Source organism: Homo sapiens, chromosome 9 (assembly GCF_000001405.40).
Source record: "Homo sapiens chromosome 9, GRCh38.p14 Primary Assembly".
NCBI lineage: Eukaryota > Metazoa > Chordata > Mammalia > Primates > Hominidae > Homo > Homo sapiens.
The window spans coordinates 88,956,529-88,972,197 of NC_000009.12; the positions used below are offsets into that span (position 1 = coordinate 88,956,529).

Sequence of the window (15,669 nt, forward strand, 5' to 3'; positions counted from 1 at the left end):
AATAATTCTACAGTGAGCACCAACAGACCCAACCCCCAGATCCTACCATCCAGATTTTACCCTGGTCACCTTCCCCCAGGTGTCTCTGCACATGCACCTGCCATCCACCCAACTATTCCTCCCTCTGTCTTAAGGTTCAACCACAGATGTCAAAGGCAGTGAAAGCAGGCAAGGAGATTTGAAAAAAACTGACCTTTTTTGAGAAAACTTCCCTGCAGGTCACATGGTGTGGATGTATAAGTTATAAATTTCTTAAAACGTTTTCCAGAGCCAACCACAGCCAAGCCATTCTCGTGTCCACCCTCAAAGCCCTTGAGGGTTTGTCCTACCAGTGAGAACATTATAGGCAGCATGGTTCTAGCAGAACCTTGTTTCCTGACTTTCAGGCTTGTAGAGGTTGGTGGGAAAATGAGGTGCCTTCCTGCTGTGGACTCCTGGCAAAGCCTGCTGTCCCACGCATCAAGAGACAGTGCCCACAAAAGCTGCACTGAAAACTCACCAGTGTGGACTTTAGCTTCTGAGAATTTACTTGCTTGCTATTTTGGAAGTTCAACTTTTCATTTCTATAGGTATTATTAAACATGTATCACTATTTTGAACACTAAGATGAATAAGGCTGTATAAAAATCATGTTCATTTTTGAGCATTTCTTTACTTAGTTTGTGAATATTTAACAATTGTTTAGCTAATCAAAGGTGTGAGAGTGAAATGCCTGAAATGCAATAAAAGAAAGATTAAAAAGGAAGGAAATATTGGAGGACAAATACACAAGACCAACATGACATTTTCACATGACAAAATTAGATCAATAAATAAATAAAAATGAAAAGAAAACCATTTAAAACCAGAAGAACGTAGGTCAAAAGCAAAACAAAACAAAACAAAAATATAAATCAGCAACAAACTATCAGTCATGCTAAAGAGCAGAACAAAGGAAATGTATATTAAACTATCAGCGCTGCAAACATAGGAAGGTACCAGGAGAAGATTAAAGACATTGTATTATTCATCCTTGCAGTCAGCTAGGTGAGACTCCCTCTTCCAGTTTAACAAACAGTAATTCCTGTTTGTTTCCATTGTGATAACACAAAACAAAGACCTGGGAGGGCTTATTGTGAGCATTGTCGCCAGGGAAAGGTGAGAATCCAAAATCACAGCCCCAAACCTCTTGCCTTTTGCACCATCCATGAGTCATCATGACTGTCTGACACTGTGAGCCCCACAGGGTGGCCCACCCACTGCTGGTGTCTGCGGGGAGTCCTGTCCATAGCTGCTCCTCTGATGTGCCACCTGGCACATGATCAGAACAAACTTGTCTCCTGAGAGACCAGTCTATTACAATGCTCAAGAAATACACATTAGGCCAGGTGTGGTGGGTCACGACTGTAATCCCAGCACTTGGGAGGCCACGGCAGGCAGATTACCTGAGGTCAGGAGTTTGAGACCAGCCTGGCCAACATGATGAAACCCCATCTCTACTAAAAATACAAAAATTAGCCGGGTGTGGTGGCGGCACCTGTAATCCCAGCTACTTGGGAGGCTGAGGCACAAAATCACTTGAACCCAGGAGGTGGAGGTTGGAGTGAGCTGAGATCGTGCCACTGCACTCCAGCCTGGGCAATAGAGCAAGACTCTGTCTAAACAGACAAACAAACAAAAAAAGAAATACACATTAGTCAGTGTTTTCAGGTAAGTCCAAGCCAGCAAGTTTATCTTCCACTCCTGAAAACAGTGAAGAGATATTCACTAGGGTCAAAACTCCATCTCACACCCCTGGCCGCCTTGGGAAGAGCCCTGCTTCCCCTCACTCTTCCAGGTCTGGGGTTGCTGTCAAGTGCTGTAATCACTTCTGCAGAATCCGACAGTCTTGAAGGTAACTGGAATGCAAGCTGCTAAAGAGTTAATTTTCAGGCTTTCATGAAGTTTATCCCTAAAACAAAGATTTTCTAATTTCACCAGTTTTACTAACTTGTGCTAATTTACACAATTTACTATGATTATAGTCATTTCCTGGAACTTTCTATGCAAGCCTATATAACCAGTTAAATAGGACGGCAGCTCCTCTTCCTTCCTAAAGAGTATTATGTAAGACTATTGATCACAGCAAGTGGATCGCTTAACATGAATGATTAAATAACTTAGGGATGACACTGAAGTTGACTTTTTTTTTTTTTTTTGGCCTGAAAAATTTTTTTTTTTTTTATTGTTCATTCTTGGGTGTTTCTCGCAGAGGGGGATTTGGCAGGGTCATAGGACAATAGTGGAGGGAAGGTCAGCAGATAAACAAGTGAACAAAGGTCTCTGGTTTTCCTAGGCAGAGGACCCTGCAGCCTTCCGCAGTGTTTGTGTCCCTGGGTACTTGAGATTAGGGAGTGGTGATGACTCTTAACGAGCATGCTGCCTTCAAGCATCTGTTTAACAAAGCACATCTTGCACCGCCCTTAATCCATTTAACCCTGAGTGGACACAGCACATGTTTCAGAGAGCACGGGGTTGGGGGTAAGGTCACAGATCAACAGGATAAGAATTTTTCTTAGTACAGAGCAAAATGAAAAGTCTCCCATGTCTACCTCTCTCTACACAGACACGGCAACCATCCGATTTCTCAATCTTTTCCCCACCTTTCCCCCCTTTCTACTCCACAAAACCGCCATTGTCATCATGGCCCGTTCTCAATGAGCTGCTGGGTACACCTCCCAGGCGGGGTGGTGGCCGGGCAGACGGGCTCCTCACTTCCCAGTAGGGGCGGCTGGGCAGAGGCGCCCCTCACCTCCCGGGTGGGGCGGCTGGCCGGGCGGGGGGCTGACCCCCCCACCTCCCTCCCGGACGGGGCGGCTGGCCGGGCGGGGGGCTGACCCCCCCCCACCTCCCTCCCGGACTGGGCGGCTGGCCGGGTGGGGGGCTGACCCCCCCACCTCCTTCCCGGACGAGGCGGCTGGCTGGGCAGAGGGGCTCCTCACTTCCCAGTAGGGGCGGCCGAGCAGAGGCGCCCCTCACCTCCCGGACGGGTCGGCTAGCCGGGCGGGGGGCTGACCCCCCGGAGCTCCTCTGCCTGGCTGCCCAGTCTGAAGTTGACTTTTTAAATGACTGGGAAGGCAAGTGAGACAGAGTTACCGAAAAAAAAGATGGGAGTCTCAAACTATGTGTTTCTCTCTTGAGAAATGAAGGAGGCCTAACTCCAAATCAATTCTAAGGTATTTTCATTTCTCTTCTTATTCAAAAATCCCCAAAAGGTGGACATTTCACTACATCACTCTCTTGTTGAACAAATAACTCAGATACCTCTGGAATGCAGGTGAGGCTGAATCAGGGAGAGGCCTTGGCCAGGAGCAGCTGGATGGCAGACAGCAGCCACTCAACTCTCCTTCCCCACGTGGAGGGACACATGGGGGTCAGCTGTGGCTTGGGATGAGCCCTAGGTAGGGTCTGACAGCCAGGGGGCTGCTCCTGTGAAACGGGCCATGGCAGGCACTAGGAACATCCTGAGGGTTCCCTAAACAGAATACTTCTCAACGTAAATCCCTCCAATGGCATCCTGCCACATGCAGGATAAAAAGCTACACTCCTTACTGGGCTAACAATGACAAAATAATGGCTCCTCAAAGATGTCCACATCCTAAGCCCCAGAAGCCATGAAGATGTTATCTTACATAGCAAAGGTTGCAGATGGAATTAAGGTCACTCATCAGCTAACTGAAAAAGGACGATCATCCCGGATTATCCATGTGGGCCCTGGGTCCTTACAGAGTCATTGAAGGGGAAGGGGGAACAAGGGTGATGGCAGCCTGAGAAAGGCTTAGGCTGACATGGATATCACTGGTTTTGAGCTGGAGGATGGAGGAAGGGGCCATAAGCTGCAGAATGCAGGAGTCCTCCAGAAACTGGGGAAGGCAAGGAAACAAACACTGCCCTAGAGCCTCCAGAAAGGAACCAGCCCTGCAGACACCTTGGTCTTAATCCAGTGAGACCTGTGTCAGACGTTTGATCTACAGAACTGTAAGGTAATACGTTTATATTGTTTTATTCACTAAGTTTGTGGTCATTTGTTACAGCAGCCCTAGGAAGCCAATATAAAGCATGTAGGATTTGATCCTGACCTTGGCTTGAGCCCTTCTCACCCTGGCTTCACATGCTCTGGGCAGACTGATTTTCTCACTCTTCCCCAATATACCAGGCTGGTTGCTACCTCAGGACCTTTGCACTAGCTGTTCTTTCTGCCTGCACAATTTGGTCATCCCTCATCTTTGCATGGCTCAACCTCCTAGCCAATCCATCAATCACAGGTGAGCACATCCTCACACATGTCTTCCTTGATCTCCCAGCTAAGGTGCCACACAGTCACTGTCCTCATGCCATGATGATCTGTTCCTCACAGCATCCACGAGCTGGCAGGGGAAGTAGAATGGATGCAGCACCGGCTCAAGGCTCAGTGCCTCTCAGGTGCTTTCATCAGCCTCCCTCACCTGGATGTACTCTTGTTAATTCCATCTTTTATTCGGTTGCTATTTTGTCTGTTCCTCCCTGATAGTCTGTAAACAACCTCACCAGCCTCATGTAGGGACCAGTGGAATGGTTTAGATGAAATGAATTTTACTTTCCATACTTTACATAACCATTAATAAATGGTTATGGAATAAATGGATCTTCCTGCTGTAATCAAGTGAAAAGGCAGAATATACTGAGGGTGACTTCTAGCTCTACAGGTGCATGATTCCATGTCGTGAGCAGTAATATACTTTAATCTCCCTTTGCTTGTGAAAAAATATCTACCTCGCTTGGGAATCAATGGCTTAAAATAATGTCTCTGCTGAGGCAGGGTGTTGTCCTGCAGGAGTGAGGCAAGGTGTGGAAGAGGAAGGTGGGGAGGTGAGGACTGCTGGTCTCAGAGCTCCAGTTCTGACTCGATATGACTTGGGAAAATGCACCTGCGCAGGCACACCTATCCCACATGTCACACAGACATGTGCATGCACAGATATAAACACTGTCACTCCTGGTTACTTTTATTTCTATCTGCCATCCTTGTGGCCATAGTCACTATTTTCCTCTTTGTACTTTTCCTTTTTACTCTGGTGGTTTGAAACTCAAACCTAAGCCTAGTTTCATCGGCTCCCTAACACCTGAGCCTGGTAAAGACAGGAGCCCCTCAGCTCCCAGCTACATTGTAACATTCCACATATTCAGCATGGCTGCAAAAAGGGGCTGAGATAGAACCTCCAGGACAATGTCCAGGACAATGGATCCCTGGAGGTCCCTGGTGGTCCCCACAGACCTCACTTTCCCAGAAGCAGAAGAGGGGCAGTTAAAATCTCAAGAGTATAGTTTTAGAAACACAATTGTTTTACCTCCCAGCGATGGTTGATCTTGTAACAACCATATTTGAGACTGCTGCCTTGTAATTAATGCTATAAAATTCATTTAACAATATTAATTCTTCCAATTCATTAAGACAGATATCTTCCCATTTATGTGTGTCTTCTTCAATTTCCTTTGTCAATGTTTTATAGTTTTTAGTTATAGATCTTTCACCTCCTTGGTTAAATTCATTCCAAGGTATTTTTTGTTGCTATTGTAAATGGGATTGTTTTCTTGATTTCTTTTTTGAATAATTTGTTGTTAGCATATAAGAAATGCTACTGATTTTTGTAGGCTGATTTTTTTATCCTGCAACTTATTAATTCTCAGCTTTTAGGTGGCATCCTTATGGTTTTCTATATGTAAGATCATGTCATCTGCAAACAAAGACAATTTTACTTCTCTATATTTCTAGTTTGGATGCCTTTCTCCTTGCCTAATTGCTCTGGCTAGGACTTCCAGTACTATATTGAATAGAAGTGGTAAGAATGAGCATTCTTGTCTTGTTCCTGGTCTTACAAGAGATTCAATGCAATCCCTATCAAAATTCCAAGAACATTTTTTCACAGAAATAAAAAAAAATCCTAAAACCTATATGGAACTATAAAACACTTCAAATAGCCAAAGCAATCTTGAGCAAAAAGAATGAAGCTGTAGGCATCACACTACCTGGTTTTAAAACACACTGCAAAGCTGTTGAAGGAGTAAAGAATATGCCACCCCAAAATATGTTGCTCTGGTCTGTTGACCATGTAGAATCAAAGGCACTTTTTAACACAGCAGGTACAAGAAGATCATTCTGACCTTCATTCTGTTTCTGAAAAGCAAGAGATAGAATTTCTGTAGAAAAATGTCCTTCCTATACCACAAGGAAAGTAAAATTCTTCTTATGTAGGACAGGAAGTTGAAGCTGAGGAATTCTGTACAAACAAATCTTGTTAAACTAACCCTTATCTTCCTACTTCTAGGACTTTCTCTACCCAATTGACTCAGTTTACCACACCTTTGTCTAATTCGGTATATACGTGTTTGACTCTAACTGCTCCTTTCAGTCTTCATTTCCTTGTGAAGTTTCCTCATATACTTGTATGCTTTTCTCCTGTTAAATCCGTCTTGTGTCAATGTAATTCTTAGACCTAGCCAAAAATAAAATCCTAAATGGGAAAAGGTAAAGTTTTGTCTCCCCTACACTCTCATAATCAAAGCAGCTTGGTACCGACCTAAAGACAGACACACAGACCAATGAAACAGAATAGAGAGCCCAGAAATAAACCCACACATTGATAGTCGATTGTATTCAACAAAGGTGCCAAGAACACACAATGGGAAGGAATAGTGTCTCCTATAAATGGTGTTGGGACAACTGGATATTCACATGCAGAGAGATGAAATTGAACCCTTATCTCACAACATGTGCAAAATAAACTGAAAATGGACTAAAGACTGATATGGTTTGGCTCTGTTTTTCCGCACCTAAATCTCATCTCAAATTGTAATCCTCATGTGTTGAGAGAGAGACTCTGCGGGAGGTGATTGGATCATGGGGGCCGTTTCCCCCATGCTGTTCTCATGATAGTGAGGAAGTTCTTACAAGAGCTGATGGTTTTAAAGTGTGCCTCTTCCTCGCTCTCTCTCTCTCCTGTCATCGTGTGAGACGTGCCTTGCTTCCCCTTTGCCTTTTGCCATGATTGTAAGTTTCCTGAGGCCTCCTCAGCCACATGGAACTGTGAGTCAATTAAACCTCTTTTCTTCATAAATTACTCAATCTCTGGTAGTATCTTTATAGCAGTGTGAGAACAGATTAATACAGAGATTTAAACACAAGACCTGAAACCATAAAACTACTAGAAGAAAACATAGGGGGAAAGCTTCTTTACATCGGGGAGGCAAAGAGTTTTAGGATATGACTCCAAAAGCACAAAGAGGTTGTCAAGCAGACAAGATAGATACCTCACACCAATTAGATGGCTACGATCAAGCAGACAAGATCAAGATAACAGGTGTTCCTTGGGATGTGGAGAATAGGGAGCCCTTGAATACTCTCTATGGAAATGTAAATTAGTGCAAACACTATGGAAAATAGTCTGGAAGTTCCTCAAAAAATTAAAGCTAGAACTGCCATATGATCCAGCAATTCCAATTCTGAGTGCATATTCAAAGGACATGAAATCAGCACCTCGAAGACCTATCTGTTCTTCCATCTTCATTGCAGCTTCATTCACAACAGCCAAGATAAGGAATCAACCTAAGTGTCCACTACTGGATGAATGGATAAAGAAATGTGGCACCTACATAAGAGGAAATACTATTTTGCCTTAAAAAAGAAAAACATCTTGTCATTTTTTACATGAATGAACCTGGAGGACATTATGTTAAGTAAAATAAGTCAGGCACAGAAAGACAAATACTGCATGATCTCACTGATGTATGGAATCTAAAAAAGTTAAACTCATAGAAGTAGAGAGTAGAGTGGAGGTACTAGGGTCTGGGGAGTGAGGAAAATGGGGAGATATTGGTCAAAGGGTACAAAGTTTTAGTTAGGCAGGAAGAATACATTGTGAAAATTTATCACACAGCATGGTGGCTATAGTTCATATTAATGTAGTGTATACTTGAAAATTGCTAAGACAATATTCTCACCACAAAAATGTGATAAGTAGATGAGGTGATGGATATAGTCATTAGCTTGATTTGATGATTTCACAATGTATAAATATACCAAAATACCATGTTGTACACCATAAATATATACAATTTTTACTTGCCTGTTATTTCTTAATAAAGCTGGGGGCAAAATACATTTTGAAGTTACCATCAATCCTGGATGTTAGAGCTTCTCTGCTGGGCTCAGTCACGCCTGACTGGTGAATACTGTCCCCTTCAGCCCCAGAGAAGGGGAGGCCTGAGTTGAGGCCCGGCTTCAACTCAGGCAAGTGAGAGGTCCAGCTTCCCCACCAGACTCTCCAAAGCATTTGGCACTGATGTCTTCTTTTGGTGGGGGACAGAGTTTTTGCTCTGTTGCCCAGGCTGGAGTGCAGTGGCGCAATCTCAGCTCAATGCAACCTCCACCTCCTGGGTTCAAGTGATTCTCCCACCTCAGACTCCTGAGTAGCTGGGATTACAGGTGCCCACCACCATGCCTGGCTAATTTTTGTATTTTTAGTAGAGACGAGGTTTCACCATGTTGGCCAGGCTGGTCTTGAACTCTTGACCTCAGGCGATCCACCTGCCTCAGCCTCCCAAAGTGCTAGGATTACAAGTGTGAACCACCACACCCGGCCAGCACTGATGTCTTTAGTCAAAAGCAGAATCAACCTAAAATTAAAACAAAAACCAAAAAAAGCCCAAGAAAAGAAGCCCAGGGCCCTGTAGTAGCAATGAGAAACGTTCTACAAAATCAAGTTGGATAATAAATATGAGTTTCTGGAATACAGGGGGAACTTGGAGAGGACCTTCATAAATAATGAGTGATATACTGTGCCCCTGGCAGAGATCTTTCAGCTGGCAAGATCGAGTTAGACCAAAACTCGTTCCCCTTCAGCAGTGGGAGGCAGGAAACAGAAAGTCTCAGGACATCTTGTGAGGGGACCCTCCCACGGATTAAATGTAATGAAGTAAACATACAAAGTCACCCTGTACTACCTGCAATGAGCCTCCCATTTCGGCACGGCTGACTCCATGTCACTCTCGGGTAATACACACAAATCCTGCAAGTGACTTGTGCCATCACTCTCTCCTGTCTGAATTCTGTCAGGTGTGCCGCCTGCGAGGGCAGACTTTCAGGCCTTCCCTGGCATCCTGTCCCAGCTTTCAGCTTAGAGCGCTGGCAGGAGCAGGTTGCCCTGTGCCACGCAGCTTCTGTGTCCTTAGAGGACCTATATTGCTAATCACTGTGAAGTGTTGAGTGACTTTAGGAAGGCTTCTTTTCTTTTGTATTCCCCTCCCCACTCCCCTTCCCTTTATTTTCTTTCTTTTTCTTTTCTTCTTCTTCTTCTTTTTTTTTTTTGATGGAGTCTTACTCTGTTGCCCAGGCTGGAGGTCTGGAGTGCAGTGGTGTGATCTCGACTCACTACAACCTCTGCCTCCTGGGTTCAAGCGATTCTCCTGCCTCAGCCTCCTGAGTAGCTGGGACTACAGGCACGCACCACCAGGCCTGGCTAATTTTTGTACCTTTTTTTTTTTTTTTTACTAGAGACTGGGTTTCACCATGTTGGCCAGGCTGGTCTCAAACTCCTGACCTCAGGTGATCCACCCACCTCGGCCTCCCAAAGCGCTGGGATTATAGGCGTGAGCCACTGCGCCCAGCCTGTTTTCTCTTTCTCTCTTTCCTTTCTTTCTTTTCTGTCTTTTCTCTTTCTTTCCTTCTGCTTTAAGATAAGGTCTCACTATATTGCTCAGGCTGGTCTTGAATTCCTGAGATTAAGGGACCCTCCTGCCTCAGCTTCCCAAGTAGGTGGGATTACAGGCACATATCACCACACCCAGCCAGGCAGGTTTCTTAATTGTTCAGTATTTTTACCTTGAGGAACACTCTTCACAGTCTACCTTCTGCAAAAGGCTTTAGGAGAGAATGCTACTCAGAAATCCTTCCAGTGCAGAACACATCTCAGAGAGAGCATGCACTAAATAAAGTGAGGAGAGAGAACCCCATAAACAAATTCACAGATTAACCTGAATGTCAACTTTTCGTTTAACCCTATGCCAAAGCCAAACATTGCTGCTTCAAGAGTCATCATTGAAAAGTGTCCAAAATGGGGCCCATCCTGGTTTCGTGATGGAATTAATTCCCATGCTGTTTGCTTCTCCTGATTGCATTGTCCTCATCTATAATTTCAAAGTACCTTCAAATTTAATTTTTTTTTTAAAGGGACGTGTATTCGTAGTGTCAGAGGACAGTCCGAGCATTCCTTTGTTATAATTTGTAACGTTAATATGGCATTGTACCAGCCAGCTGGGTAGACAGAGACCTGTCCTCTCTGTGGGCCCCAGCTCTGGGTCCTGGGGCAGGACACTGGCCTTGCCCATTGCCCCACGCTTTCATGTCTGGCCATCTTTCCAGAGAGGAAACCCCTCCTGGAAGTATGATCAACTGGCCTTGTCACTATAGCTGGCCACATCCCGCCCTGATCAAGGCCATTCTAGGAAGCCTTTGACCTCAGTTCCTGATATCCCATCCAGTGTGGGAGGTGGACTGCCTTCCCTCTGCCCCAACGTGGGTTTTGTTTGGGGCCAGGATTCTACCTGCACCTTCCTGGGAGCCACCTACAGTGCTGTTATCAGCTCTCACACAGCCAGGCTACCCTGTGGCAGATTCCCCACCTCTCGGCTGGCCAAAATGCTTCACCGTCACCTTGGATCTCATGGTTCATGGTTATGTCCTTCCTGTAACTCACCTCAGAGTTTATGTTTCACCCTGATTAGGACAGCTGAGTCCGGGTGCATCACATTCCTGCCAATGCATGTGGTTCCTCTAGGGCCAGCCCCTGCTCTGGGCACTTGGCCCCAAATCCTGCAGCAAGCTTACCTCTGCCCACACCATCATCCTCCGCTACTGCTGCACCCCACGGCGTGGTCTGGCCATGTTTGCTCTTTGTTCTTCCTGGGTCACATGCCCTCAAGGCTGCTCAGAGTCCTGCACTAGGGGGCTTCCTCCGGGGCTTCTGGCCACCAGCTGTCATTTCCAGCCATCCCCAGGATCCTGCTCAGTGAAATCTTCTTTAGATGTTTGTGTTAAAGATGTAGCTGTGAACCCAAATTGTCAGGTTGGGCCAGGTGGCTCATGCCTGTAATCCCAGCACTTTGGGAGGCCAAGACAGGCAGATCACCTGAGGTCAGGAGTTTGAGACCAGCCTGTGCAACATGGTGAAACCCTGACTCTACTAAAAATACAAAAATTAGCCAGGCACGGTGGCAGTTTCCTGTAGTCCCAGCTACTAGGGAGGCTGAGGGAAAAGAATCACTTGAACCCGGGAGGCGGAGGTTGCAGTGAACAGAGATCCAGCCACTTCACTCCAGCCTGGGTGACAGAGTGAGACCCTGTCTCAAAAAACGAACAAACAAACAAACAAAAAGCAAATTGTCCTCTGCAGTCACAGGAGCACCGAGGGGCCCTTGTTGCCACGACTTTCAGGTAAGAAGCAGAACCCCAGGATGCAGTGGGCTGTTGTGTGGTCTCCCTGATGTCCTGGAATGTCCCGGCCAATTTGACGGTTTTTCTCTCCAGTGCACCCTCCCTGACCAGCCAGCTCTTCCCTCCCCAGCGCTTGCCCTGCACTGACTCTGAAAGCTTGTTGTTCCATTTACTGTTTACACTCACTTTATTTCATAGAGTAAAAGGTGCTTCTCAAACATAAGTTTATGTTGTTCGCCTTCAGCTCCCCCTGTATTCTCTCACCATGTCTTCAGCATGGAGAAGCAGGAACCTAAACATGGGAAGTGTTTTGACTTTCAAAAAAGCCCATAGTGAAGGCTCTGTTTATTTGCTTTGAAAATGATAATCATCAGTCCACACGCCTGCAAAGAATCATGGGCAGGAAAAAAAATAATTATAAATACAGCTGGATTTTAATAAAATAAGCAAAACAATTCCCACAATCTTTACTCAGTAAGCAGAATTTTTAGGACTGAAATAGACAGATGTATGTACCTATGTATGAAGCTTATATGCCTAAGTAAATTGATATATATGTCGGTTTGAGAGGACTATGTTGAATTTACAAGTATGCACTCATGCATACCTGTGTCATACGCGTGTGTTGAATGCATGTATATATGCTGTTGTCTATTCAGTTAGGGATGTCCATTGGACATGTAGAGTCTGGAGTTCAGGGAGGGTTGAGGCGGGGGGTCTCTAGGTAGCATTTGGCAGGACATAGGTGAGATTTAAAGCCCAGGGATGAAAGTGGAGGACAGAAAGGTGGAGACTGAGCCCCGGGGGCTGCAGGGGTGGAGTAGCCAGATGAGGGAGGGATCCAGCCAAGGAGTCTGGAAGGAGCTGCAGTAAGGTAGGGAAGGTGAGGGAGGGCCACTCCATCCATGAAGAGTATTTCCAGAAGCTGGATGCAGCCACCCATGTTAAACCCTCTGACAGGTCAGACAGTCTGGTAGGACGGTGGGAACCAAAGCCTGACCCCAGCGGATCCCAGGGAGAATGGAGGAGAAGCAGCAGGGGTTTCGGCAGCATCTACTCTCCACAGACAGACAGAGGGCCATCCCCCACATGCTGAGCACTACCAAGATCCAGCCAGGAGAAAGGGAGCTGGTGACCATGCATCAGAGCAGGGGACATACAGCAGCCAGGCCACTGACCAAGAGTGACGGATGGCTCAGGAGCCCACGGTGAGTCTGGCCAGGGAAGTTTTGGGAGTCTCTCCACTTCAGCAGGGAGGAAGGCACCGTCTGGGACACAGCCAGTGGTTGGTGGACAAGATGTGGGAGCCTGTAACTGGTCCCTTTTGTTATATTCTACTTTCCCAGTGAAAAATGAGCCAGGTTCTCAGCTGCAAGTGATGAGAAGGGCGAGGGCATAGGGCATTCGAGTACGAAGGAGAGGTGAAGTGATTGTGTCTGCGCGGGTTGAATGAAGGGATCAGGGAAAGTTGTCACCTCTCAGGGCTATGCTGACTTGGGAGTGTAACATGAGACTAGTTAGCAAGAATTCTAGAGTTTCCTCCACCTGCACTGGGCTGCTTGGAGGCAGGAATGAAGTAAGCACAGAGTTTGATTAAACCAAGTTCAAATATCTGCCAAGGACCCCACAGGTGACAGGAGAAGGGAGGGTGTAAGTTGTAGCAGGGACAGGCAACAGGGATTTATGATAATGCACGATGGACTCTTACCTGGGGGGATGGCAGGTGAGGATGTGCAGGGAGGTCGATGGCAGCACGTGGGTGGCAGGAATGTATTGAAAGATGACACTGTCCTGGCCTGCACCCAGAGGTGCTGGCTAATGGGTGTGGAGTGGCCCGAGCGTGGTATATGCAGGAGGGTTTCAAGATGCAGCTCTGTTGAGAGTTGCAGAGGCCACACAGGAGAGTGAGGGCAGGGTGGAAGTTTCTGGATCCACAGGGTCCAGAGATGAAGGTCAGGCAAAGACCATGATTAGCAACTATGTAGGTAGATGGAGATGCAGGCTCAGGTGAGCTAAAGCTGGTGGGTGAGCCTAGAGCAGACGCTCAGCCCTGCTTGCCTGGGGAAAAGTTAACAGGTGTCCCTGCAATTCACCCTCCCCCACACCCCCAGGCACACTGGTTCCACTGATCTGGGCTGTGCCCTGGACCTAGGAGTGTGAATAGCTCCCCAGATGTTTCTGCGCACAGGCTGAGAACAGCTCCAGCTCAGAGCTTGTTCTACCTCAGTGTTCCCAGGAAACTCCTGTGGGGTCTCCTTAAAATGCAGATTCTGGTGCAGGAGTCCAGGTGGGCGGTGCCAGGGACTCTGCCTTTCTTAGGAGCTCCCAGGTGCTGTCTGCTGTGGGTACTTTGAGGAGCAAGGCCTTAGAGAGAGTGTTCTTTTTTTTTTAATTTCAAGCTCTCATTTATTAGTGTACCTCTCAATCTTTAAAAAAAAAATGGAAACGAAAAAAATAAAGCTGCTCCCAAAATGTCTTATACCATTCTTTTTGTTGTTGTTTGTTTGTTTGTTTTGAGACAGAGTCTCGCTGTGTCGCCCAGGCTGGAATGCAATGGTGCGATCTCAGCTCTCTGCAACCTCTGCCTCCCAGGTTCAAGTAAATCTCCTGTCTCAGCCTCCCTAGTAGCTGGGATTACAGGCACCTGCCACCATGCCCAGCTAATTTTTGTATTTTTTTTGTAGAGACAGTTCACCATGTTGGCCAGGCTGGTCTCGAACTCCTGGCCTCAAGCGATTTGCCCACCTCGGCCTCCCACAGTGCTGGGATTACAGGTGTGAGCCACCACGCCCGGCCTTATACCATTCTTTAAAAAAGGAAACTGTTTCTTTTAACTTTACACCCACCCCCATCCCAATTTCAAAACACATCATTTAATTGTCTTGTTCACGGACATTTCCAAGATGAAATTTTATATTTTGCTCCCATAACTTCTGGTTATCAGAAAACCCAAACTCCTTTATTGAAGGAGTTTGGTCCGGCTGGTGTTGGTGGGGATCTTCCAGAATTCTTTATCCTCAGCTTGGCTTCTGGAGGCATTTCCTCCGCTTCACTCCCTGACCCGAGTGTGATGGCCATGGCTGATGTCTTCTTCATCATCTGACTACCTATGGCGAATCCAATGTGGAGATCTTTGTAGACTCCGTTGGGAGGTCTGCAGCTCCTTCAGCTGACCCTTCTCAGTGCTGCGACTGAAACTTTCCCCTCCATTACTAGAAGAAACGGTCTTCGTTTTCACAGGTTTTTCTGCTTCCTCTTCAGGTCCTCTGGCTGCTCCAGCTCGCTGTGACTTTTCAGGCTTCTCCGCTCTCGCCCTCCCCTCCGCCATTTTCCCCACTGTGGCCGCCCCTTCTGTGTTCTTGACAAAGCATGTTTCTGCCTGACTGCCCATGCCAGTCCACACAAAAAGACCTCCAAGTACGCTTGCCATTGATGGACAATATACATGTTTATAGAAAGCAAGCAAAGAAGCTACGGTTTCTAAAACATTCCGCAAGAGTGAGCGCATTGTTGTCCACCCACCACAGTCTGCCTCCGTCCCTGGCGCAGAGCTCCAGGGGCCCAGAGGGTGGCGTTTCTAGCAGCCTCAGCGGTCAGCCCAGGCCAGGCCTCCCCAGGCCTCTGCCTTCCTTCCCTATGGAAGCTGCGGAGGAAGCACCTCCTCACTGTGGGCACGCTGGAACCCCAGGGAGAGGCTGCCTGGTCACACCAGAGTGAAGTAACTGACCAAACTCAGCAGGGAAGGGCAACAGGAAGCCCAGAACCAACCTGTGCCTGCCATTCCCGACTCCCCGCGGCCCTCACACAGCTTCTCCGCCTCTGAGCCCTTGAGGTCAGCTTCTGGGGCATTAGTTTGCTTTGGGTGAAGCTGTGGTGGGGACCAGGCTTCTGTGTGGAGGGTGCTAAGGGCCAGAGGTAGCAGCAACAGCTTTTCCCCAGAGTGTCTCTCTGGATGTCGCTGGTGGTTTCAGGGCTGCTTGATTCCTGGCTAGGTAGTGTCCAGGCTGGGTCTCTGTTCCAGAACTTGTGGAAGCCAACTAATATAATTTACTAAGACCCATCCAGTTTTTTTCTTTTTTTAAAGTGGATTTTGTTGTCTGCAACCAAGAACTCTGACCAATGTTTCATCCTTCAGGTTCTGAGACATCACTACACTGGGGAGATACCAGCACACACCTCAGTGC

At 46.8% G+C, this 15,669-nt stretch overlaps 1 pseudogene; it reads right to left on the reverse strand.

Moving 5' to 3' along the window:
• Positions 14,281-14,835, reverse strand: PCNPP2 (PEST containing nuclear protein pseudogene 2; annotated as a pseudogene).